At 39.7% G+C, this 27,473-nt stretch overlaps 1 protein-coding gene and 1 pseudogene across 14 annotated transcripts in view; both read left to right on the plus strand.

Moving 5' to 3' along the window:
* The window catches only part of RBBP8 (RB binding protein 8, endonuclease), a 112,348-nt gene extending 86,049 nt beyond the window's left edge, over window positions 1–26,299 (plus strand). For 9 of the 14 annotated variants that reach the window (XM_047437728.1, XM_006722519.3, XM_011526132.3 and 6 more), the window contains 5 exons: window positions 1,399–1,542; window positions 6,176–6,245; window positions 16,641–16,737; window positions 21,942–22,083; window positions 25,956–26,299. In XM_047437728.1, coding sequence (XP_047293684.1) covers window positions 1,399–1,542; window positions 6,176–6,245; window positions 16,641–16,737; window positions 21,942–22,083; window positions 25,956–26,053 — 551 coding nt within the window. In that variant the 3' untranslated portion in view covers window positions 26,054–26,299. The remainder of the gene's footprint in view (window positions 1–1,398; window positions 1,543–6,175; window positions 6,246–16,640; window positions 16,738–21,941; window positions 22,084–25,955) is intronic. The other 5 variants (XM_047437729.1, XM_005258325.4, XM_047437731.1 and 2 more) reach the window with 2 other exon arrangements.
* On the plus strand, window positions 4,377–4,675 carry RN7SL745P (RNA, 7SL, cytoplasmic 745, pseudogene; annotated as a pseudogene).

A 27,473-nucleotide genomic window follows, 5' to 3' on the forward strand; every position in this document is an offset into this window, starting at 1 on the left:
GTGCTGTGCGTTGGGAGAGGTGGTACTTATATAGAATAATCTTAGGCCTCTTTTCTGTCATATTTGTTAGCCAACTGGATTTAAACTCTAGTGTTTTTTAAATGTGATTATATAATGGGAAATGTGGTTAGATCTGTGAAGATGAATTTTTCATTTTCCGTGTCAAATATGGCATTGAATTCCTAATTTCTAGTAATACTAAACTACCAGATGCTAATGAAGATGAAAGAAAATACTTTTTTGCTACTTCATTACAAAAAGTAAGCATGAAAGGTCGAGCACAGTGACTCGCACCTGTAATCCCAGTATTTTGGGAGGCCTAGGTGGGCGGATCACTTGAGGTCAGGAGTTTGAGACCAGCCTGGCCAACACGGTGAAACCCCATCTCTACTAAAAATACAAACATTAGCCGGGTATGGTGGCGCACACCTCTAATTCCAGCTACTTGGGAGGCTGAAGCAGAAGGATTGCTTGAACCCAGGAGGCGAGGTTGCAGTGAGCCAATATCGCCTCACTGCACTCCAGCCCGGGTGACAGAGCAAGACTCCGTCTCAAAAAAAAAAAAAAAGCATGAGTAAAGAACATTTAAAGCCATAACATAAAGCCTTTGTAAATGTACAGTAACTACCCAGAGTTGGGAGTTTATTCTTACCTCATACACAGATTACAAGAATTAAACCTCATTATAAGAATCATGATTTAAGAAGTGTCTTTAAACACTTCATTACATACGTTACAGTTTGCTACTCACTGAGAGTAACTGAATTAACACTCAGCCTTACAGCTTGCAACTAATATTCTTAGAATCATGTTAGCATGTGTCCACAAACACTTCACTACATGCATTACATCTGTTCACCAAAAGAACACTCTTCACAGCTAGGCCTGCAGCCCTCATCATAATAATCATGCCTTTAAACACTTTATTACATACATTATAGTTTGTTACTCACTTATATTCACTGAATTTAACACTCTTAACAAGACAGCTTGCAAGTAACATTCTTAGAACTATCTTTTACATACGTGTCTACAAGCCTTTCACTACCTATATTACATCTATTCACTGAAAGAATACTCTGCAAAGTAAGGCCTGTAATCCACATTTTTTTAAAACATTTTTTAAACTATCAAATTTTTATTTTAGGTTTGTGGGTACATAAGAAGGTTTGTAACATAGATAAACACGTGTCATGGGAATTTGTTGCACATATTATTACATTACACAGTTACTAAGCTCAGTACCCAATATATAATCCATATTTTAACAACCGTATTTTAAGAAGTGTCTTTAAGGACTGCATTCTGTTATTGTGTGGTAGTTACTACAGTTTCATGATGGTCTACATATTAAGCAAAAGCTTGCTTATTGCCCTAAGCCAGTGCTCTTTTACATAGATGAAGAAAGAAAAATGAATGATAGCTTGGAAGATATGTTTGATCGGACAACACATGAAGAGTATGAATCCTGTTTGGCAGACAGTTTCTCCCAAGCAGCAGATGAAGAGGAGGAATTGTCTACTGCCACAAAGAAACTACACAGTAAGATTTTTTTCTGTTTAATTATGGCTTCTCAGTTGCAGAATTCAGTAAGTTAAGTTATCAAGCTAATTAACAAAGGCTTGATGACATATCAACAATTGAAGTTTCATATTTCTTGTATAAATTTTTTCAGGTTTTTAAAATTTTGAGATAATTTTACACTGATAAGAGTTCCAGAAAATTTTTCAGCATTCTCCTGTACCTTTGACCCAACCTCTCCTTATGTTAATGTGTTATATAGCTATAAAATATTTATTAGAACTAAGAAACTAAGATTAGTTTGGTATTACAAATTTCTTTCTAAATACGCATAAAATTGATAAAATTTTTGAGAAATGTCTATTAATTATTAAATTAATTGTAATAGAGTAGAAGGAGAAAGTTTTGTACAACATTCAGATCCAGCCAGGCACAGTGGTTCACACCTGTAATCCCAGCACTTTGGAAGGCCAAGGCAGACAGATTGCTTGAGCTCAGGAGAGTTCAAGACCAGCCTGGGCAATGTGATAAAACCTCATTTCTACAAAAATTAGCTCGGCATGATGGCACATACCTGTAGTCCCAGCTACTTGGGGGCTGGAGCGAGAAGATCGCTTGAACACCCAGGAGGTCGTGGCTGCATCAGTGAACCGCTGACTGTACTTCAGCCTGGGCGACAGAGTGAGACCCTGTCTCAAAAAAATAATAATTAATTAATTAAATTCAAAAAAGGAAAATTCAGATCTGTTTTCTGCTGTGAATGCTTTATCTTACCAGACAAAATACCTAATGTAACTATGTGTATTAGTCTTAATATCTCTTTCATTAGAAGCAGTAACTTTATAATGTAGGATAGCAATCAGAAAAAGAATACTCTAATTGAAAATCTAAGTAGATAATCTGGATTGAAAATTGTAATTTTTGTTAAATCTCTCATTTTTCTCCTTGTTTTATTAAATTGGTCCGAATTTTTAATCTAGTGCAAAGATTGTTTTATGCTGGTTTAAATGAACATACCTTCTACTGTGGCACAATCTTGATTATGCTCATGTTTCCATCAGGTTTTTGAAACAACAGCCCTTAACTCAAAAGTGAGTGAGACCCAAACCAAAGATAGAGGACAGTAGGCTTTTGCTTGCTTAGTCCATGGCAAAAACTCCATCAAGTAAATTTTGAAATAAAAATTCACAGCTGTTCGGTATCCTTTTTCCCCCCAAGAAGGACCTTTTGCAAATAGGTTTCATTTCAAAGAAAAAGACTATTTTTCGCAAAGGTGTACTTATTCTGTTCCTTCTTTTAAGTTACATTTGACACTGACTATCCCAGAATTTCTTCTCACTTAGCTTTTCTGACGATGCTGCCTCGTTCTTTTCATTTGTCACAGCTTGTTTCCTAGAATATCCCCAAGACTCTTTCTTCCTCACAACTTTTCTCTCACAACTTTTATCAGCCTTACCTCTGAAAATGATTCCAAATCTGCATCTCTAGGTTTGATTTCTCTGATGAATCCCAGTCTTGCATTTCTGAGTACTGTGAGATACTTTTGCGTCTCTTCAGCTTAAACGTAATGTCTAAGCCAATTTCCATTTACTTCCAACCAAATAATCTTCAAACGTTTTTATTTTTCCCAGTCACCCAGGCATATAATTTAGGATTTGTTACATATTTATTTTATTTTCTCAACCCAGTTACTACCTTGTATGTGCTTTCTCACATAACCCTTAGCTGTCTACCTGCTTAATGTTTAACTCTCTGCTTGCTTAATGTCTATTTTCTTCACTGTAATGTAAACTCCATGAAGACAGGAGACCTGCTCTCTCGTTACACATTGTATGTCTGGAACTTAGCACAATGCTCAGTAAATTTTGATTCTTTGAATAGATGCTAGCGTTTAGCTATTTGAGTCTAGACATCTTAGGAGTCAAGTCCCAAGTTCTGAGCTCTAGGTTTTAATCTTTGTCACCAATTTTCTGATAAAATCTTTAATCTGTTTATTCCCTAGTTATAACTTACCTTAAAGATGCATTGTAAAAATCAACAGGATTGGTGACAATGTAAATTAGTATAGCCATTTTAGAAAATGATATGAAGATTCCTCAGAAAACTAAAAATGGCCAAGGCGGGCGGATCACGAGGTCAGGAGATCGAGACCATCCTGGCTAACACGCTGAAACCCCGTCTCCTGAAAATACAAAAAAATTAACCGGGCATGGTGGCAGGTGCCTGTAGTCCCAGCTACTCGGGAGGCTCAGGCAGGAGAATAGCGTGAACCCGGGAGGTGGAACTTGCAGTGAGCCAAGATCACGCCACTGTGCTCCAGCCTGGGCAACAGCGCAAGACCCCGTCTCAAAAAAAAAAAAAAAAAAAAAAAAAAACTAAAAATGGAACTGTCATAGATCCAGCAGTCCCACTACTGGGTGTATATCCAAAGGAAAGGAAATCAGTATGTTAAAGAGGTATCTGCACTCACGTTTATTGCAGCACTGTTCAGAATAGCCAAGATACGGAATCAGCCTAAGTGTCTACTTACAGATAAAGAAAATGATATATAGCTAGATAGGTGTATATATATATATACACACACACACACATATACATAGACACACAAAAATACTATTTAACCACTAAAAAGAACAAAATTCTGTCATTTGTGCAAACATCGATGAGCTTGGAGAACATCATATTAAGTGAAATAAGCCAGGCACAGAAAGATAAATACCACATGTTCTTATTCATATGTGGAATCTAAAAAAGTTGATCTCATAGAAGTAGAGAGTAGAATAGCAGTTACTAGAGGTGGGGAAGGCTGGGATAGCCAAAGGTGGGTTAATTGGTATAAAAATATAGCTAGCCAAGCAAGGTGGCAGGCACCCATAGTCCCAGCTACCCAAGAGGCTGAGGCAGGAGGATAGCTTGAGCCTTGGAGTTCTTGGAGTAGTGCTGTATTGGAGTTCTGAGGTATGATCCATATTAAGTTTGGCATCAATATGGTGACCTCTTAGAAGCAGGAGACCACTAAGTTGCTCAAGGAGCAGTGAACTGGCCCACTTCAAAAATGGAGCAGGTCAAAACTTGCATGCTGATCAGTAGTGGTGCGGTGCCTATGAATTGCCCCTGCCCTCCAGCCTGGGCAACATAGCAACACCTGATCTCTAAGAAAAATAAATAAGGGAGCCGGGCACAGTGGCTTACGCCTGTAATCCCAACACTTTGGGAGGCCGAGGCAGGCGGATCACAAAGTCAGGAGATCGAGACCATCCTGGCTAACACAGTGAAACCCCGTCTCTACTAAAGATACAAAACATTAGCCGGGTGTGGTGGCGTGCGCCTAGTAGTCCCAGCTACTTGGGAGGCTGAGGCAAGAGAATCTCTTGAACCTGGGAGGCAGAAGTTGCAGTGAGCCTAGATCATGCCACTGCACTCCAACCTAGGCAACAGAGCAAGACTCCATCTCAAGAAAACAAAGAAAAATAAAAAGCTAAATAGAAGGAATAAATTGTAGTGTTCAATAGCACTATATGGTGACTATAATTAACAACAATATATGTTCTCAGATAGCTAAAAGCACAGATTTTGAATGTTCCCAACACAAAGAAATGACAAATGTTTGAGGTGACAGATATGCTAATTACCCTAATTTGGTCTTTACACATTGTGTACATATATCAGAGTATCACACTGTATAAAGATGTATACTTATGTGTAAATTTTTTTTATTTTTTTGAGACGGAGTCTTGCTCTGTTGCCAGGCTGGAGTGCAGTGGCACAATCTCAGCTCACTGCAACCTCCAACTCCCTGGTTCAAGAGATTCTCCTGCCTCAGCCTCCCGAGTAGCTGGGATTACAGGCATGTGCCACCATGCCCAGCTAATTTTTGTATTTTGAGTAGAGACAGGGTTTCACCATGTTGGCCAGGCTGATCTCAAACTCCTGACCTCAGGTGATCCACCCACCTCGGCCTCCCAAAGTGCTGAGATTACAGGTGTGAGCCACCACACCCGGCCAAAATTAATATTGAAAGCTGTCTTTTGTTGTTCTTTCTTGTCAAATGATAATAGTGGGCATCTGAGTATTTCTTTTATACTCTAAAATACTTCCTGAGATAATGACTTTTAGCTGTCTAGTAATTTTGAGTTGAATGAAACAGCACCCTCCTCATTATGCAGATGCAAAAGAAAGAAAAAAGTAGTTGCAGAGGCAGGGTGCAGTGGCTCACGCCTGTAATCCCAGCACTTTGGGAGGCCGAGGCGGGCGGATCATGAGGTCAGGAGATTGAGACCATCCTGGCTAACATGGTGAAACCCTGTCTCTACTAAAAATACAAAAGATTAGCCCGGCATGGTGGTGGGCGCCTGTAGTCCCAACTACTCAGGAGGCTGAGGCAAGAGGATGGCGTGAACCCGGGAGGTGGAGCTTGCAGTGAGCAGAGATTGTGCCACTGCACTCCAGCCTAAGCAACAGAGCAAGACACCGGCTCAGAAAAAAAAAAAAATAGTTACAAAGTTGCAGAAAATTTAAATGAGTTGCTCAGAGGCCTGGAGCATGAAACCCAATAAAAATGGAAGTTTGAGTGCGTGTCATTTTCTTCCAAGCTAGTTAATTATTTCTCATTAAGTTCTACATTTAGTTTGTAATGTGCATGTTTTATTTATAGCTCATGGTGATAAACAAGACAAAGTCAAGCAGAAAGCGTTTGTGGAGCCGTATTTTAAAGGTGATGAAAGGTAAGTTGGTTTTTATTTATACCAGCAATGTGACTGGAAGTACAATAGAGCTGTCTTTTATTTCTCTCTCTTTTTTCTTTTTTTTTAAAGACAGAGTCTTGCTCTGTCACCCAGGCTAGAGTGCAATGGCGTAAACTCAGCTCACTGCAACCTCTGCCTCCTAGGCTCAAGCAATACTCCCACCTCAGCCTCCTGAGTATCTGGGACTACAGGCACATACTACCACACCTGGCTAACTTTTTTATTTTTTGTAGAGACAGGGTTTCACCACGTTGCCAAGGCTAATCTTGAACTCCTGGGCTCAAGCCATCCATCTGCCTCGGCCTCTCAAAGTGCTGGGATTACAGGCTTGAGCCACCACACCTGGCCAGTCGAGCTGTCTTTGTCAGAGTATCTCTAAACTGTTAAATTGCTACTTTGGTTAAATTAAAATTATTTACTTTATGGTCATAAAAAAGAGACTCAAGCATAAAAACGACAAATTTTACAAATAAGGAAATTTTTGGCACCATCACCTTTTTTTGGCAGTGGTAATAGTTATTTTCTCTGCTTTTGTGTGTGTGCGTGTGCATGTGTGTGTGTGTATTTCTTTTTTTTTTTTTTTTGGAGACAGAGTTTCACTCTGTTGCCCCGGCTGGAGTACAGTGGCGCAATCTCGGCTCACTGCAACCTCTGTCTCCTGGGTTCAAGTTATTCTCCTGCCCCCGCCTCCCGAGTAGCTGGGATTACAGGTGCCCACCACCAGGCCTGGATAATTTGTGTATTTTTATTAGAGATGGGATTTCACCATGTTGGCCAGGCTGGTCTCGAACTCCTGACCTCAGGTGATCCACCCGCCTCAGCCTCCCAAACTGCTGGGATTACAGGCATGAGCCACCACACCCAGCCTGTCTGTTTTATTATTTTTTTTAAATGTCTTTTTATTCTATCTTTTCAACTTGGGGCATTTATTAAATTGTATAAGTTTTATGTAGTATAAGACTTTAGGTAGGCCAGGCATGGTGGCTCACGCTTGTAATCCCAGCACTTTGGGAGGCCCAGGCGGGGGGATCAAAAGGTCAGGAAATTGAGACCATCCTGGATAACATGGTGAAACCCCGTCTCTACTAAAAATACAAAAAATTAGCCAGGTGTGGTGGCAGGCACCTGTAGTCACCGCTACTCAGGAGGCAGGAGAATGGCGTGAACTCGGGAGGTGGAGCTTGCAGTGTGCCGAGATCGCGCCACTGCACTCCAGCCTGGGCAACAGAGCGAGACTCCGTCTCAGAAAAAAAAAAAAAAAAGACTTTAGGTAGTAAGACTTAGGTTTATTATGCTTCAGAATTATTTTATAAGGATTTTTGAATCTTTAAAAACAAAACCTTTAAGCATGTTTTGTTTTTTTGGTTTTTTTTTTTGAAATGGAGTTTCGCTCTGGTTGCCCAGGCTGGAGTGCAATGGCATGATCTTGGCTCACTGCAACCTCTGCCTCCTGGGTTCAAGCAATTCTCCTTCATCAGCCTCGCGAGTAGCTGGGATTACAGGTGCCCACCACAACACCTGGCTAATTTTTTGTATTTTTAGTAGAGACAGGGTTTCACCATGTTAGCCAATATGGTCTCGATCTCCTGACCTCGTGATCCACCCGCCTCGGCCTCCCAAAGTGCTGGGATTACAGGCGTGAACCACCACGCCTGGCGCTAAGCATCTTGATTTAACCATAATGCGACCTTCTGCCTTTCACAAGGACTGCAAATTCTGTTACTTATAGTCACCTACTATTTGTTCTTAAAGCAAATTGAAGACATAGTAATTCATTCAAAAAAAATTGTTATTTTTTTCTTTAAGATGTTGGTAAATTGAGTTACTCAGTAAAGTTACTCCTTTTATTTTTATTTCTGTTGAGAATTTTAGAAATCTAACAGGCCAAGATTTTTTTTATTCCTCTGAAACTCTTAAAGAGCTGTCATTTTGTTTAATGCTTAATTCTTCTTTTTTAGTTACCAGTTTTCCAAACAAATGGTACTCTAGCATTCCAAATGTGACTAGGTTGTTTTTTGTTTAGGTGTCATTATATACTCATCAATTTAAGTATATTTGATGTGTTGTAATCCATTGCAGTCATTATCCTTAGAGATACCCAGATTGTCCCATCTTTGCCTAAAGGAAAAGGAAGCTTCTTTCATAGGTTTCTTGCTTCTGTTATCTGGAATCTGCCATTTTTCTTGGAGCCCTAGTTCCTTTTAGTGAGAAATGGTGTTTAGGCCACAGTCTGGCTGCTAGGGTTGCACTTTAGTCATTGTTTCTCAGCCTTTTAGGTGGACAGAGTTAGGAAAAAGATTTTTTGTATGACTTTGATTTTTTTTTTTTTTTTTTTTTTGAGACAGAGTCTCACTCTGTCACCCAGGCTGGAGTGCAGTGGCACAATCTCGGCTCACTGCAAGCTCTGCCTCCTGGGTTCACGCCATTCTCCTGCCTCAGCCTCCTGAGTAGCTGGGACTACAGGCGCCCACCACCACACCTGGCTAATTTTTTGTATTTTTAGTAGAGACAGGGTTTCACCGTGTTAGCCAGGATGGTCTCGATCTCCTGACCTCGTGATCCACCCGCTTCGGCCTCCCAAAGTGCTGGGATTACAGGCGTGAGCCACCTCACCCGGCCATATCACTTTGATTTTTTAAGGTAAACTATACTTCATACTGATCGCTCTAACTCAAATTCAGGACCACAGGATATTTATGTAAACTCCTCTATCTTACATCTTTATTTACTTTCCCACCTACTGAAAATCCCACTTCTCAGTGCCACCAACATAATTCCTTAATTTATTTTATTCCACAATACACATAAAGCAGTTTCAGAATAATACCACCAATAATATAATTAATGAAAATTGTTTGAAAACTTTTTGTATGCTCTTTTGTCCTTAAAATATATTCTATTAGAAATGTACAGTAAAATCACTGCGTTTTTTTTTTAAAGTCATTTGGGATAATTATTTTTTGCAGTTATGCCACCAACTCAGTACCTTATTTTGCTTTTGATTTTTTAGGAATTGGGTTTTTTTCTTTTCATATTTAATTCTTTTAAAAGTACATAAAGTATAATGTATTTTATATATATATATATAAAATGTATATAATGGACACAAAGTATGTACATTGTACCAGACTACAAGTATATTCAGATAAATCTCACGTCTATTCTTGGCCTCTATATCTTATAGCTCCCTATCCCTATAGGTAATCATTTGTTTAAAATTTATGATTTTTCTTCTATCCTAAAAAATAGAAGCAAATACATGTATATAGTCATGCTATCCATGACTCATATAGAATATTATATATACTTTGCTCTACTTTGCTTTTTTAGACGGAGTCTTGCTCTGTCACCAGGCTAGGGTGCAGGGGCGCCATCTCAGCTCACTGCAACCTCCACCTCCTGGGTTCAAGCGATTCTCCTGCCTCAGCCTCCCGAGTAGCTAGGACTACAGGCATGCGCCACCACGCGCAGCTAATTTTTGTATTTTTAGTGGAGATGGGGTTTCACCATGTTGGCCAGGATGGTCTCGATCTCTTGACCTTGTGATCTGCCTGCCTTGGCCTCCCAAAGTGCTGGGATTACAGGCATGAGCCACTGCACCTGGCCTGCTTTTTTTATTTAACTATAGATCCTGGAAATCACTCAAGTTGTATATAGCGATATTCCTCATTTCTTTTTAGCTCCATAGTACTTCATTATGTGACCCTACTGTAGTTTATACCCTAGCAGTGGACACTTGGGTTGTTGACAGTTATGCCTAGTGCACACAGTGCTGCAGTGAATAACCTTGCACATTCTCTTTTCATATTTTTGCCTGTAGATCATTGAGATAGATTCCTAGAAGTAGGACTGCAGAGTAACAACTGTCATTTTCCAGGTGGCTCATGCCTGTAATCCCAGCACTTCAAGAGGCTTTGGCGGAAGAATCGCTTGAGCCCAGGAGTTTGAGACCAGCCTGGGCAACACAGTGAGACCTCGTCTCTACAAAAATTAAAAATTAGCTAGGTGTGATGGTGTGTGCCTATAGTCCCAACTACTCAGGAAGCTTTGAGAAGATCGCTTGAGCCCAGGAAGTCAAGGCTGCAGTAAGCTATGATCACACCACTGCACTCCAGCCTGGGCCAACAGAGTGAGACCCTGTCTCCAAAAAAAAAAAGAACTGTCATTTTAAATGTTTCATGTTAAAGGTTCACTAGTTTTTTAGAAAATATGTATGAGTAGTTTTATTTATTCTGAAGCAATTAGATAGCTGGAGAACAAGAGGTGAATGGAAGTGTGGGGATGGAGGCATGGAGATGCTAGAATTCTCAGAGTTACATTGTTGCTTTTTCCACTGAGAATACTAAGACTGCAAACCTGGGAAGATGGATTGTGTAGTATCAGGGACAAGAAGCTTGTTTAAGTGATGCTTTGAGGTCTACTACAGATGCTGTTCTGCTAGGAGATTCCCTACGTCACGATAAGACACTATAGAAGTGGAGTAGTTAATATTCAGAAGAAAGGATATGGCCAAAATGTGATCTGCATAATCTTAGGAGTCCATAAACTCTTTGAAAGAAAATATAGTTGTGGCAATATTTTTTGTGTGTACTTTTCTGGTTTCCCTTTTCTAATTCACAGATCACACCAGAGCTGAGGGTTCTTGAGTTGAAACAAAAAAGGACTTATACTTAGAGTGACTAAAACTTTTCTTTTTGAGGGAAAGTGCTTGCCAACTAGAGGGGCATGTATGTGATCTTTTTATTACACTTCTATTTAAGGTATACTTTCTGTTTCATGGTGCTTTATTGCACTTTGCAGATACTGTTTTTTACAAATTGAAGGTATGTGGCAACCCTGTTTGAACAAATCTGTCAGCGGCATTTTTCCAACAACATGTGCTTACTTCATGTTTCTGTGTCACATTTTAGTAATTCTCACAATATTTCAAACTTTTTCATTATTATATCTGTTACAGTGTTCTGTGATCAGTGATCTTTGATGCTATTTTTTTTTTTTTTTCGAGACAGAGTCTCGCTCTGTCGCCAGGCTGGAGTGCAGTGGTGCCATCTTGTCTCACTGCAAGCTCTGCCTCCCGGGTTCATGCCATTCTCCTGCCTCAGCCTCCTGTGTAGCTGGGACTACAAGTGCCCGCCACCACGCCTGGCTAATTTTTTTGTGTTTTTTTAGTAGAGATGGGGTTTCACCATGTTAGCCAGGATGGTCTCGATCTCCTGACCTCATGATCCGCCTGCCTAGGTCTCCCAAAGTGCTGGGATCACAGGCGTGAGCCACCGTGCCCGGCCTGATGCTGTTATTATAAGTGTTTTGGGTCATCATGAACGATGCCCGTGTAAGACAGCGAACTCAATCAATGAATGTCGTGTGTGTTCTGGCTGCTCCACCAACCGACCATTTTCCCATCTCTCCTCCTCTTCTTGGGCCTCCCTATTCCCTGAGACACAACAACATTGAAATTAGGCCAGTTAAGAACCCTGCAATGGAAGCAGGCATGGTGGCTCATGCCTGTAATTCCAGAACTTTGGGAGGCTGTGATGAGCAAATCGAGACCAGCCTGGGCAACATGGAAGAACTCCATCTCTACAAAAAATACAAAAAAAATTAGCTGAGCGTGGTGGCACACGCCTGTAGTTCCAACTGTTATACTGCGGGAGGCTGAGGTGGGAGGATTGCTTGAGCCCAGGAGGTCGAGACTAGTGAGCTGTGATCGCGCCACTGCACTCCAGCCTGGGAGACAAAGTGAGATGCTGTCTCCAAAAAAAAAAAAAAAAAAAAAAACCAACTATGATGCCCTTTAAGTATACAAGTGAAAGGAAGAGTTGCACATCTCTTACTTTTAAATCAAATGCTAGAAATGATTAAGCTTAATGAGGAAGATATTTCAAAAGCCAAGATGGGTAAAAAGCTAGGCCTTTTACACCAGTCAGCCAAGTTGCAAATGCAAAGGAAAGTTCTTGAAGAAAATCACAAGTGCTACTCCAGTGAACACATCAATGGTAAGAAAGTGAAACAGACTCACTGCTGACATGGAGGAAATTTCAGTGGTCTAGATTGAAGATCAAACCAGCCACCGCATTCCTTTAAGCCAGTGCCTAATCCAGAGCAAGCCTCTAACTCTATTTAGTTTGAGGAAGCTGCAGAAGAAAAGTTTGAAACTAGCAGAGGTTGGTTCATGAGGTTTAAGGAAAGAAGCCATGTCCATAATATAAAAGTGCAAAGCAAATGGCAAGTACTGATATAGAAGCTGTAGCAGCAAATGATCTAGAATATCTGGCTGAGATCAGTGATGAAGGTGGCTGAACTAAACAATAGATTTTCAGTGCAGATGAAACAGCCTTCTATTGGAAGAAGATGCCATCTATGACTTTGATAACTAGAGAGGAGAAACCAGTGCCTGGCTTCAGAGCTTCAAAGGACAGGTTGACTCTTGTTTGGGTTAATGCGCTGGTGACTTCAAGTTGAAGCCAGTGCTCATTTACCATTCTGAAAATCCTAGGACCCTGAAGAATTATGCTCAATCTGCTGTGCCTGTGCTTTAGAAATAGAACAACAAAGCCTGGATGACAGCACATCTGTTTATGGCATGGTTTACTAAATATTTTAAGCCTATTGATCAGAAAAAAAAAAAAGATATCCTTTCAAAATATTGTAATCATCCAACAGTTGTTTTTTCTTTTTTTCCCACCATACAAATAGAGCTGATTCACTGAGACAGTGATATTATAGTAGAGAAAGAGTGTAATAATTGCAGAGTTAGTCAAGTGGGAGGACTGGAGTTATTATTTAAATCACCTTCCCCTAAAATGTGGAAGCTATGGTTTTTTAAGGATAGTTTGGCAGAGAGGGAGCTGGGAACGGGGAATGGAGATTGGTTGGGTTGGGGATGAAATTATAGGGGTCAAAGGTGTCTTTTTGCAGAGTCGGTTTTTGGGTGGGATCACAAGATCAATTGAACCAGTTTTTTGGTATGAGTTACCAGCGCAGGTGAGCCCACCTGGTCCGTCAGAATGTAGGGTCTGAAAAATACCTCACACCCCAAGGTTTTATAATAGTAATATCATTTGTATGTAGGAGCAATTGAGGTTAGAAATCCCATGACCTCTGTCTGCATGACTCCACTACTGAGCTATAATTTTAACCTCTTGACTGATTTGCTGGTTTTACATAGATGGTTTAAGTCTCTGAGCAAGAAGGAGGAGTTAGTTTTGGGAAGGAGCTGATAATCATCTTTGTTTTAAAATAACCTCGTGGCTAATTTGTTAGTTTTACAAAGGTGGTTTCAGTCCCTGAGCAAGGACAGGGCTGATTTCCAGAAGGAGCTGTTGTCATCTTTGTTTTAAAGTTAAACTAAATTTTTCTCATAGTTAATTTGGCCTATGCCCAAAAATAAAGACAGCTTAAAGGTTAAAAGCAAGATAAAGTCAGCTAGGTCAGATTTTTTCCACTGTCATAATTTTTGCAAAGGTGACCTCAATACTACTGTTCATTGACAAAGCACGTTGTCACCCAAGAGCTCTGATGGAGATGTACAAGGAGATGAATTTTTTATTTATTTATTTATTTAGAGACAGAGTCTCACTCTGTCACCCAGGCTGGAGTGAATGGCGCGATCTTGGCTCATTGCAACCTCCGCCTCCCGAGTTCAAGTGATTCTCGTGCCTCAGCCTCCCAAGTAGCTGGGATTACAGGCATGTGCCACCACGCCTGGCTAATTTTTTTTTTTTGTATTTTTAGTAGAGACAGTGTTTCACCATGTTGGCCAGGCTGGATGAATGTTGTTTTCATGCCCGCTAACACGTATCGTTCTGCAGACTGGATCAAGTAGTAGTTTGACTTTCAAGTTCTCTTATTTAAGAAATACAGTTTGTAAGGCTATCCCTGCCATTGATTCCTGTGATGGGCAAAGTAAACTGAAAACCTTCTGGAAAGGATTCACCATTCCAGATGACATTGAAAACATTCATGAGGCCAGGACTTCAAGACCAACCTGGGCAACATAGTAAGACCTCATCTGTACTAAAAAGCAAAAATTAGCTGGGTCTTGTGGCTTGCACCTGTAGTCCTAGCTAACTCAGGAGGCTGAGGCAGGGGGATTACTTGAGCCCAGGAGTTCAGGCTGCAGTAAGCTATGCTCATGCCACTTCACTCCAGCCTGGGCAACAAAGCAAGAACCTGTCTTAAAACAAACTAACTAAATAATAATGAATAAAATAAAATGTTGTGCTTCTTGATTGCTTTTTCTTCCCAACGTACTCCATAGCATATTAATCCATACCTAGTGGCTTTGACCCTCCTAGGTTTCCGTGATTCACAGTAGGATCTTATTCATTTAAAAATAACAACAAATGATAGTTATGCCTAATATTTTGAAGAATTCATGGTAGGTGGAAGCAGCATAAGGTAATTTTTCTTTTTCTTTTTTCTGGTTTTTTTTTGTTTTGTTTTGTTTTGAGACAGGATCTCACTTTGTTACCTAGGCTGAAGTGCAATGGCACAATCATTATTCACTGCAGCCTCAAACTCCTGGGCTCAGGCAGTCCTCTCACCTCAGCCTCCTGAGTACCTGGGACTATAGGTGTGTGCCACCACAGCCAGCTAATTTTTTATTTTTATTTTTTGTAGAGACAGGTGGTTTGATATGTTGCCCAGGCTGGTCTCAAACCCCTGGTGTTGGTCTCAAGCAACCCTTTTGCCCCAGTCTCCCTAAGTGCTGGGATTATAGGCATGAGCCACCACACCTGGCCAGTAATGTTTCTCATAAATAGGATGGCAAATGGCATACAAACAGATGAATCTGTTCTCTGGGCAGAAGAAGTTAGTCCTGAAATCTGGGTTCTTAGTACTGGAAAACAGGCAGTATTTTTTTTTAATGTTATACAATGCCAATTTATGAGTTTCATAATACAGTATTCATTTTTAAATAGGTTATTATATTTTACCTCCTAACCTAATTGTTATTTTCAGCCAGTGAAAGGCAGAAATAAGAAGTAATAGTAATTGCCTTTCAGTATAATCCCACTTGTATATTTTTGCTTTTATTGTCTGTTATTTTGAGGTCTTATTCATAAAATCTTTTCCCAGACCATTGTCCTGAAACATTTCCCGTATTTTTTTTTTCTAGTAGTTTTATAGTTTTGGGTCTTACATTTAGTTCTTTGACTCATTTTGAGTTGATTTTTATATTGAGTGAGAAATAGGGGCCTATTTTCATTCTTCTGCAGTGGATATCCAGTTTTACCAGCACCGTTTATTAAATAGACTATCCTTTCCCCAATGAAGGTGCGTGGCTCCTATGTAAAAAAAATCAGTTGACTATAGAGGCATTCATTAATTTCTGGTACTCTGTTCCATTGCTCTATGTGTCTGTTTTTATGCCAGTACCATGCTGTTTTGGTAACTGTAGCTTCGTATATTTTCAAGTCTGATAGTATGTTGCCGCCAGCTTGTTTTTGTTTTTGTTTTTTTGCTTTTTTTCTTTTTTTGAGACAGAGTCTCACCCAGGCTAGAGTGCAGTGGCATAGTCTCAGCTCGCTGCAACATTTGCCTCCCGGGTTCAAGCGGTTCTTGTGCCTCAGCCTCCTGAGTAGCTGGGATTACAGGCCTGTGCCACCACACCCAACTAATTTTTGTATTTTTAACACAGACATGGTTTTGTCACGTTGGCCAGGCTGGTCTCGAACTCCTGACCTCAAGTGAGCCACTGCGCCCATCCAGCTTTGTTCTTTTTTGCTCAGGATTGCTTTGGCTATTGGTATGACTTTACTGGTTTCAGACTAATTTTAGGATTTTTTTTTTATATTTCTGTGAAAGCCTGGGCACAGTGGCTCACGCCTGTAATCCTAGCACTTTGGGAGGCTGAGGCGGGCAGATCACCTGAGGTTAGGAGTTCAAGACTAGCCTGGCCAACATGGTGAAACCCCATCTCTACTAAAAATAAAAAATTAGCCAGGCGTGGTGGTACAGGCCTGTAATCCCAGCTACGCAGAAGGCTGAGGCACAAGAGTCGCTTGAACCTGGGAGGTGGAGGTTGCAGTGAGCCAAGATCATGTCATGCACTCAAGCCTGGCCAACAGAGCAAGACTCTGTCTCTAAATAAATAAATATTTCTGTGAAGGACATTATTGGTATTTTGATGGGGATTACACTGAATTTGCAGGTCACTTTGGATAGTAAATAGTTTTAATTTTTTTAGTTAGAAAAAAATACCCATAAAAATACTTGGTGTATATATAGTAAGCACTTAATAAGTATTTGACGAAGCAATATTTTTCTAACATACTGAATAAACATTTCAAATAAAAATGAATGAATGTTTTGGGGATTATTTCTCCTCTGAACTCTAAGCTTTGTTAATTTAATTCATTTTTCCCCCAGAGAGACTAGCTTGCAAAATTTTCCTCATATTGAGGTGGTTCGGAAAAAAGAGGAGAGAAGAAAACTGCTTGGGCACACGTGTAAGGAATGTGAAATTGTAAGTACTAATGTAGATACTAATTTTTTTTTAAGTACGGCTTTATAGATAATAAATGCATGATTTTAAAATCACGTATACAAACCATATTGGTTATAGAAACCTCTTATTTGAGCCAGGCGTAACAGCAGGAATAAGGAGTATTCTGGGTCGGGTGCGGTGGCTCATGCCTCTAATCTCAGCATTTTGGGAGGCCAAGGAGGGCGGATCACTTGAGGCCAGAAGATCGAGACTGGCCTGGCCAACATGGCGAAACCCCATCTCTACTAAAAATACAAAAGTAAGCTGGGTGTGGTGGTGCACACCTGTAATTCTAGCTACTCAGAAGGCTGAGGCAGGAGAATCGCTTGAACCCGGGAGGTGGAGGTTGCAGTGAGCCGAGATTGTGCCATTGCGCTCCAGCCTGGGCAACAAGAGTGAAACTTGGTCTCAAAAAAAAAAAAAAAATGCCAGGTGCAGTGGCTCACACCTGTAATCCCAGCACTTTGGGAGGCCAAGGCGGGCGGATCACGAGGTAAGGAGATCTAGACCATCCTGGCTAACATGGTGAAACCCCGTCTCTACTAAAAACACATTAAAAAAAGCCAGGCATGGTGGCGGGCGCCTGTAGTCCCAGCTACTCGGGAAGCTGAGGCAGGAGAATGGCGTGAACCCGGGAGGCAGAGCTTGTAGTGAGCCGAGATTGCACCACTGCACTCCAGCCTGGGCGAGAGAGCGAGACTCCGTCTCAAAAAAAAAAAAATTATTTTTACCAACATTCTCAGGAAATTAGGTATACTCATAATTTTTTAAAAATAATTGGTACCAATATAAGTTCTTTTTTTTTTTTTTTTTTTTTTTGAGACGGAGTCTTGCCCTGTTGCCCAGGCTGGAATGTAGTGGCGTGATCTTGGCTCACTGCAATCTCCACCTCCCAGGTTCAAGCAATTTTCCTGCCTCAGCTTCCCGGGTAGCTGGGATTACAGGCACCTACCACCATGCATGACTAATTTTTGTATTTTTAGTAGAGACAGGGTTTCACTATTTGGCCAGGCTGGTCTCGAACTCCTGACCTCAATTATTCCGCCTGCCTTGGCCTCCCAAAGTTCTGGGATTACAGACATGAACCACCATGCTGGCCAAGTTCTTTTTTGTTTGTTTGTTTGACACAGAGTTTTGCTCTTGTTGCCTAGGCTGGAGCACAATAGTGCAATCTCAGCTCACCACAACCTCCATTTCCCGGGTTCAGACGATTCTCCTGCCTCTCCCTCTGCCTCCCGAGTAGCTGGGATTACAGGCATGCGCCACCATGCCCGGCTAATTTTGTATTTTTAGTAGAGACAGGGTTTCACCATGTTGGTCAGGCTGGCCTCGAACTCCCGACCTCAGGTGATCTGCCCACCTTGGCCTCCCAAAGTACTGGGATTACTGGGGTGAGCCACTGCACCAAACATTTTTCTTCCTAAACAAGATATAATGAATAAATACTTAAACACTTATATTTTTCCTTTTATACATTGGCTGTCTTGGATGTTGAAGTAGATGGTACAGACATTGCTTTGTATCTGTGGGAAACTGGCTTCAGGACCTACTGTGGATACCAAAATCACGGATGCTCAAGTCTCTGATATAAAATGGCATAGTACTTGCCTATAACCTATGCATATTCTTTCATATGCTTTAAATTACCTCTAATTACTTATAATCCCTATTACAATGTAAATGCTTTGTAAATAGTTGTTATACTGTATTGTATAGGGAATGACAAGAAAAATAGTCTGTACATGTTAATACAGATGAAGGTTTTTTTCCTGAATATTTTTGATCCACGGCTGGTTGAATCCATGAATGTAGAACCCAAGGATATGAAGGGCCAACTGTATTGATTGTCCTTTTACTGAATAGTCCCAGGCAGGTTCTGTTTTGACCTGGAACATGCTGTTTTTATTTCTTCCCTTGTTGTCCATTAGCTCTCAGATGCCTGCCCTCAGCAATTTACTTCCCCTTTTAAATTTCATTTTTAACATACGGGCTAGAAAATTTAATAACCAAGCACATTAAAATTATATGTGAAAGTATGACTAGATTGTAATACAGGTAAGCATTGGGTAAAAATATGCTCTTATGTACTAACAATGGGAATATAAATTGGGATCACTATTTTGAAAAGCAGTTTGGCAATACAAGCAAAAGCCTATAATGTGAGTTCGTGAGTTTTCATTACACAAATTGAATATATCACGATGTCTTAAAGAATATGGTCCACATTGAGTAAATCTCTGGTTTTTTAGTTATAACCATAATTCTATGATCTAGAATTAATCCTACTAGTTAGAAAAAAGCTATTTTGCTAGAAACACTGTTAAGTTACATTCATTCTCAATAATCATTTCCCGTGCTTTCTGTTATCCAATCTCTGAAAACCATTATTGTATACATTTTAGTTTTTCTAGTTAATTTACCTAGGAAGGTAAATCTGTTCTGTTACTCCATCATGACCAGAAGTGGAAGTGCCAGTCCCATGTACTTAAATACTAACCATATGCTTACAGTTCTTAAATTTATCCCATTGCCTATTCTGCAAGTGGAGTGTGCAATACTCATGTGGATCTGAGATAGTGATCTCAAATTTCACACATCCAAAAACAAACATACAATATCTGCCCTCAATTCCCAAACCTCACTGCTGAGTCTCCTATATGTCCTGAGATCTTATAGTTATTCACTACTTTTTTCTTTCACATCTCAATAACTTTTATATCAACAAACCCCATTGATTCTTCCTTCAAAATATATCCCATATCCATCCACTTACTATCACCACCACTAATGCCCTGGACCAAGGCAACATTTTATAATTTTTTTTTTTTTTTTTTGAGTTGGAGTCTCACTCTGTTGCCCAGGCTGAAGCACAGTGGCGCGATTTCGGCTCACTGCAAGCTCCGCCTCCTGGGTTCACACCATTCTCCCGCCTCAGCCTCCTGAGTAGCTGGGACTACAGGCGCCTGCCACCACGCCTGGCTAATTTTTTTGTATTTTCAGTAGAGACGGGGTTTCACTGTGTTAGCCAGGATGGTCTCGATCTCCTGACCTCGTGATCCGCCCGCTTCAGCCTCCCAAAGTGCTGGGATTACAGGTGTGAGCCACTGCACCCGGCCAACATTTTATAATTGTAATAGCTTCTAAGTGCTCTCCTGGTCATTTTTTTTTTTTTTTACTCTAAAACTTGTATTTTGGCCAGGCACAGTAGCTCATGCCTCTAATTCCAGCACTTTGGGAGGCCGAGGCGGGTGGATCACCTGAGGTCAGGAGTTCAAGGCCAGCCTGGCCAACATGGTAAAACCCTGTCCCTACTAATAATACAAATATTAGCTGAGCGTGGTGGTGCATGCCTGTTATCCCAGCTACTCTGGAGGCTGAGGCAGGAAAATCACTTGAACCCAGGAGGCAGAGGTTGCAGTGAGCCGAGATTGCTCCATTGCACTCCAGCCTGGGTGACAAGAGCGAAACTCCATCTCAATAAATAAATAAATAAATAAATAAAACTTTATTTTTTAGAGCAGTTATAGGTTCACAGCAAAGTTGTACAGAAAGTACATACAGTTCCCATGTACCTCTGTCCCCATTCTCTTTTACTTTTCATTCTTGTCTCTTAACAATGTACTTTCAGCTCAGCAATGAATGGCCTTTTTTTTTTTAAATAATCTTTTTAGAATAAAAGTTAAATCATGTCATTCCCAGAATCCTTCATTGTCTTCCCATCCCACTAAGAAAAAGAATCTAAAGTCCTTATCAAGGACAACAAACTCTGGCTCTGCACTTCCTCTCTGATTTCTGTTCAACCACTCACCCATTTGCTTGCTGTGTTACAACTGCACTCACCGACTACTGTTTCTCAAATATGTTTTAATTCAGTGGCAGTGTTTTTTCCAATAAGCCCTGATTCTCTAAGGTCATCTCATCTCATCCCAAAGCCCAGACTAAGGTAACAAAGGCTTATACTTAGGGCAGTGAGAATGATGAAAAAGATACCTGAATGAAGTTGTTTCACAGCTTCTTTAAAGCCTTTAATCTGTGTAAAATAGAAATGTATTAAAAGCTTTTACTTCAAACTTAAATTCTAGTTTTAAGTCTGTCACTTTCAATAGGTGATATCTTTGGCAAATTACCACTTTCATTTTCAGTTTCTCAAGTGTAAAGTGAAGGAATCGGCTGGATTAAATATGTGATTCTGGGTGGCTCACACCTGTAATCCCAGCACTTTGGGAGTCTGAGACAGGTGGATCACTTGAGGTCAGGAATTCGAGACCAGCCTGGCCAACATATAGTAAAACCCCGTCCGTGTCTACTAAAAATACAAAATTAGCTGAGTGTGGTGGTGCATGCCTATAGTCCCAGCTACTTGGGAAGCTGAGGCAAGAGAATCACTTGAACACAGGAGTGGGAGGTTGCAGTGAGCCAAGATCGTGCCACTGCACCCCAGCCTGGGTGACAGAGCAGGACTCTGTCTCTCAAAAAAAAAGTGATTCTGTCATCTATGTTCTATTAAACCTTAAACTACTGCTTTGTTTTCACTAAGTCTAGGCCTTAAAAACCTGTACAATTTTTACGTATAATTTTATCCTTGTGTGCATGAAGTTCAAGTTCTTTGTTTTCACAGTTGCCAAAAAATAGTAGGCTTTTGATCCTAACTGAAATCTTAAAGGGAGAAGTCATGGAGCCTTCAACATTCAGATCTAAATTATTTTTTAAAGCCGTAGAGATAAGAAAATTACTTTGAAACACACGTTATATTCAAATAATAATTAAGAAACATGTAGACCTCTGAATTTTTTTTACTGGCCTAATAAGGATAAAGACTTTGTACCAGTGTATAAATCAGCTGTATCACTAAGCACACTGTCAAGATCAGCTGGCTTTTTTTTTTTTTAATTGCAACACTTTACTGATAAAGGAAGCACTTTATTGGTTTACATTGTGATACAAGCTCCTTTTCTCATCAGTGAAGCAGGCACTTCACAGACCAACATCAGCACTGATTACTGTTAGTAATTAATACTGTCTGTAAGAATTAATTACTAATAGTATCATCAATGAGGATTAAGTTTCCTTAGACTGCTGAATATCTTAGTAAATGGCTTTTTTAGCTTCTAGTTTGTAATCAATAAGCATAACACTCCATTTATTATTCTTTAGTGAAAAAACTTACCAGTTTTTATTATTAGTATTATGCAGATATGCCAGCAGAAGAAAGAGAAAAGAAATTGGCTTCCTGCTCAAGACACCGATTCCGCTACATTCCACCCAACACACCAGAGAATTTTTGGGAAGTTGGTTTTCCTTCCACTCAGACTTGTATGGAAAGAGGTGAGAGTATAGATTGTAACATTTTATAATTATTTTTTTTAAATACTTGGCCGGGCACAGTGGCTCACGCCTATAATCCCAACACTTTGAGAGGCCAAGGTGGGTGGATCACCTGAGGTCAGGAGTTCAAGACCAGCCTGGCCAACATGGTGAAGCCCCATCTCTACTAAAAATACAAAAAATTAGCCAGGCGTGGTGGCACATGCCTGTAGTCCCAGCTACTCAGGAGGCTGAGGCAAGTGAATCACTTGAACCCAAGAGACAGAGGTTGCAGTGAGCCAAGATTGTGCCATTGCACTCCAGCCTGGGCGACAGAACAAGACTCTGTCTCAAAAATAAAATAAAATAAAATAAAATAAAATAAAATAAATAAAATACAATATAAAATAAAATAAAATAAATAACTGTATATGCCCAAATGTGAACATGCACCTTTTTTTCTGTGATTCTCTTTACCTTTTGCTGCAGGTTGGGTGCTAGTTTTGTGACATAAAAACATTCCTAAAGATAAAAGGACTCTTCAGTAATTTATTTGGAATTAGAGATTGGTAATATCACTTTAATGTGATTGTGCTTATATTATTCTGGTTTACCAAATTTCAAAAAGCAATTTCTCTTTTATTCTATCATCAAAATGATTTTTTTTTTTATAGGGCTTCACTCTGTCACCCAGGCTGGAGTGTAGTGGCATGCATAATCATGGCTCACTGATGCCTCCGACTTATGGGCTCAAACTCTACCTCAGCCTTCCAAGTAGCTAGGACTACAGCCTTGTGCCGCCATACCCAGCACTTTTTTTTTTTTCCCCCTAGAGACAGGGTCTCACTATGTTGCTCAGGCTGGTCGTGAACTCCTGGCCTCAAGTGGTCCTCCTGCCTTGACCTCCCAAAACACTGGGATTACAGCCATGAGCCACTGCACCCAGCCAAAATGACTTTAAATAAAATAAATAACCTAACAAAAATTACCAGGAAAGTTATATTTAAAAAGAGAGAATCTTAAAATCTACTGCTATGAATTTTGGATTTTAAAACCTCACTTACCCAGAATGCTGGATGTTTATAAGTGGTATCTGAATAAATAAAAAAGATGTTTATTTGTTAGGTTGTTGACATGCAACTAGCTTGTTTAGATATGACACTTACATTTAATATAATTTGAGAATATATTCAGCTTTTAGGCTGTTAATAAAAGGTCATGAGTAGTAATTTTTCTATGTTACCAGCAGCATAATGCTAAAAAGTATAGATCCACATTTTTCTGGTTTTATATTTTCTACCAAAATTAAGTTAGTTGGGTATGTGATCTGAAGTCTTCATGTCATTTAACTGTCTTTGGGGTAGCATACTCCCATTTCTGTGCTCAAGCTAGGACTATCAATCTGGACATTACCACTATTCCAGGCATATAGTAATTCATAGTCACTAAGGTCTAAACTTTATTGTAATCATTGGTTTAAATGAAATGAAATGCTCGAGTCCTTAGCCTTAAAAGAGCTATTTAATTAAGCAGGGTCCATTTCACAGACCCTTTGTTGTGAAAGTATAATTCCAGAGGAGCTCATAAGAGCATTTAATAGCTAGTTTTTATGAAGGGGCCTTTTTTTTTTTTTTTTTTTTTGAGATGGAGTCTCACTGTGAGGCCCAGGCTGGAGTGCAAATGGCACAATCTCGGCTCACTGCAACCTCCACCTCCCAGGTTCAAGCGATTTTCCTGCCCCAGCTTCTTGAATAGCTGGGACTACAGGCACATGCCACCATACCCAGCCTATTTTTTTTTTTTTTTTTTTTTTCTAGTAGAGACGGGGTTTCACCATACTGGCCAGGCTGGTCTCAAACTCCTGATCTCAAGTGATCCACCCGCCTCAGCCTCCCAAAGTGCTGGGATTACAGGCTCGAGCCACCACGCCCGGCCTGAAGGGGCCTCTTTAACTGAAGATTTTATTCTCTACATTATTGTATTCTTAGACTTTTTTTGTATGTGGCACATATAGTTCAAAACTCATTTGTTATTAAATGAATGTTGGTACAGACATTCAATCAAACATTCTTTTAATAAGACAACATACTCTTAGTTTTATGAAGAATTTTAATTCAAAATCATCCTAAAACATGAGCTAAATACTGACATTACATGTGTACAGTTTATTACATACCAAGTGTACTTGAATGAAGCTGTTCAGAAAAAAAGCCATAAGAGAGGAAGAATATTAGCTAAGCAGGGACTTTTCTGACCTCTTTATTATTTTTTGCTATTTTCTCCATGGTCCAAAGACCATCCAGTTACAGACTAAGTCTTACCTTGTGGTTTAAAATACTGAGTTTTAGCTGGTCCAGAGGCAATTAGTTATCTCAGTTGATCATTCAATTACAGATTGAACTGCTTCTTTTACTCTTTCCCTTCATTCTCACTACTGTACCTGATTCGTCTTAAGAAAAAAATACTGAGTTTTATGAAAACAAGATATGTTTTCTGGTATGTGATTGAAAAGTATAGTAGTGTTTAGAATATTTATGATTTGACTTTTTAATTAATTAGTAGCCTTCAGGCTTTAGGCCTGTATTTGTCAGTTACAGATAAATGTTTAAAATTTTTACCCACAAGACGATAAAATAGCATTAAATAAATGTCAAATGATAAAATTATACCACCTAGAATTTCAGTTCAGCCTTGCCATCTTATAGAAACTATTCTCAGCTGGGCACAGTATCTCACACCTATAATCCCAGCACTTTGGGAGGCCAAGATGGGAGGATCCATTGAGCCCAGGAGTTCGAGACCAGCCTGGGCAACAGAGTGAGACCCTGGCTCTAGACGAAATAAATAATAAAATTAGCCAGGTATGGTGGTGCATGCCTGTGGTCCCAGCAGTAACTCAGGAGGCTGAGATGGGAGGATTGCTTGAGCCCTGGAGGTGGAGGCTGCAGTGAGCCGTTATTGCACCACTGCACTCCAGCCTGGGCAACAGAGCAAGACCCTGTTTCAAAAAAACAATTAATTTAATTTAATTTTGAAAAGAAACTGTTCTCAATGAAGAGCTCTGATGATTTAGCTGCACAACAAGGAGGGAGAGACCTTCTTCACTTTTGGAGACGCTCCAGATGTTTAACTGTAAGATAGTTTTTCCAAAAGATGCAAAGTCTCTGACAGCTTTCACTGTATTTCTGCTTTCCCCATTAATAAGCCAGATTGAGTCAACTTTGATGTGATATCTCACTGCCTGGTCACCAGATAGAATCAGTCTGGATAGAGCCTGTGATTGCACCCCATGCGTATGGCAGAGCAAATACTTCCCCTGAAGATTACATGCTTAGAGACACCTTAGGAGATCTAATAGTCTGAAGGGTATAGAGGGATTGTCATCTATTGAAATAGCTACTGTAAAAAGTATTTTTGATAAGTACCTGAAATTTATAATAGTAGAGTTCATGTTTAGCACTTTGTCCCCCTTTGCAACTACCTATGGGAGGCAGAATAGGAAAGTGTTTAAGAGTTCTGGTTCTGGAATAAGAAAGAGCTTGGGCCAGGTCCCAGCTCCTCTACTTTTTAGCTTTGTGAACTTGAACAAGTAATTTAACTTCCTTGGGTCTCTATTACCTCATCTGTCAAACAGGTATAGTAGAAACTACTTCAAAGGAATGTGAGTTATATGAGATGATATATGTAACCATTTGGTAAATATTTGCTGTCATTATTATAAATGAGGAAACTGATGCTAAATAGTGAGATCAATCATCAGCATCACACAGCTAATAATCAGAAGAATCATGTAAACTTACAAAGCATCAAATAAGAGAAATGTTTACTAGATATAAGCTGAAAGAAATGCATGTTGCACATACAGTCTTCTAAGTTTATGATTTGTTTTTAAGGTTATATTAAGGAAGATCTTGATCCTTGTCCTCGTCCAAAAAGACGTCAGCCTTACAACGCAATATTTTCTCCAAAAGGCAAGGAGCAGAAGACATAGACGTTGAAACAGAAACAGAAGGATGAAGGACAGTTTTTTCCTTCTTAGTTATTTATAGTTAAAGTTGGTACTAAACATTGATTTTTTTGATCTTCTGTAAATGGATTTATAAATCAGTTTTCTATTGAAAATGTTTGTGATATTTTGCTTTTGCACCTTTAAAACAATAAGGCGCTTTCATTTTGCACTCTAACTTAAGAGTTTTTACTTTATGTAGTGATACCTAATACAATTTTGAAAATACAATAGTTGTAGTCTGTGATTTGTTGCCTTTCAGTTCTTTTCTTTTTACTTCATCTTCCCTTGGTATTTACATTGAGCAGTGACTTCATGTTAATCATTACAGATTTTTCTTCATCAATTGCTCTTCTCTAGGTCATATCAGTGTCTAGTATTTAAGTCTTTTTTTAAAAAAACAAAAAAGAAAGACTGTATTTTCATAGTTTTTTTAAACTCTCCAGCTTTTGTTGAATTGGAATCAGGTACTACATTGTCATAAATTCCTTTCAAGGTGACCACAAATATCGACTTTTTTTCCTTTCCCACATATTGTAAACATTATTCTCTGATCTGGTCCTACTTTTCCAGCTCTTCACATGTTTTCTTTTCATCATACTTTTTTTTCTTTTTTTTTTTTTTCCGAGAAGGAGTCTCGCTCTGTCGCCAGGCTGGAGTGCAATGGCACAATCTCACTCACTGCAACCTCCGCCTCCCGGGTTCAAGCAATTCTCCTGCTTCAGCCTCCCAAGTAGCTGGCACTACAGGCGTGCGCCACCATGCCCAGCTAATTTTTGTATTTTTAGTAGAGATGGGGTTTCACTGTGTTGGCCAGGATGGTCTTAATCTCTTGACCTCGTGATCCACCTGCCTCGGCCTCCCAAAGTGCTGGGATTGCAGGCATGAGCCACTGTGCCCAGCCATACTTTTTTTTTTTTTTCTGGTGCATTTCTGAAGTTAAATATGTTGAGTTCTCTGCCCATTTGTTCAAATTCTATTGTATTATTTCTGTGGATTGACAAATGTTATGAACAATTTGGTTTCAAAATAGATTTTTCTATTTAGCAACTTTCTATTCCTCTAGGACCTAGTATTAAGGTCATTAAGATGGCTTAATGAGTCATTAAGCCATTAATGAGTCATTAAGATGGCTGACCAATCTGTGCCATCTTTTTTAGTGACATTTTGTTTATCAGTATCTCTTTTGTGTATTTCTTTGATTTATATCTTGACAGTATTACATAAGCAGGAATAAAAGAGACATTGAGTGGAATGTCTCGCTCAAATATAAATAACCTTATAAATACAATCTTTACTTCTCAGAGTCCTAAAATCTTCTTGGTTAGTCTGGTCTTCCTTGTTGATCAAGGTTCTCGTGACTAAATGGCATTAGTTTGTGTTCTCACAGATAGGATAGGAAAAG

This window comes from Homo sapiens, chromosome 18, assembly GCF_000001405.40.
Source record: "Homo sapiens chromosome 18, GRCh38.p14 Primary Assembly".
NCBI classification, from domain to species: domain Eukaryota; kingdom Metazoa; phylum Chordata; class Mammalia; order Primates; family Hominidae; genus Homo; species Homo sapiens.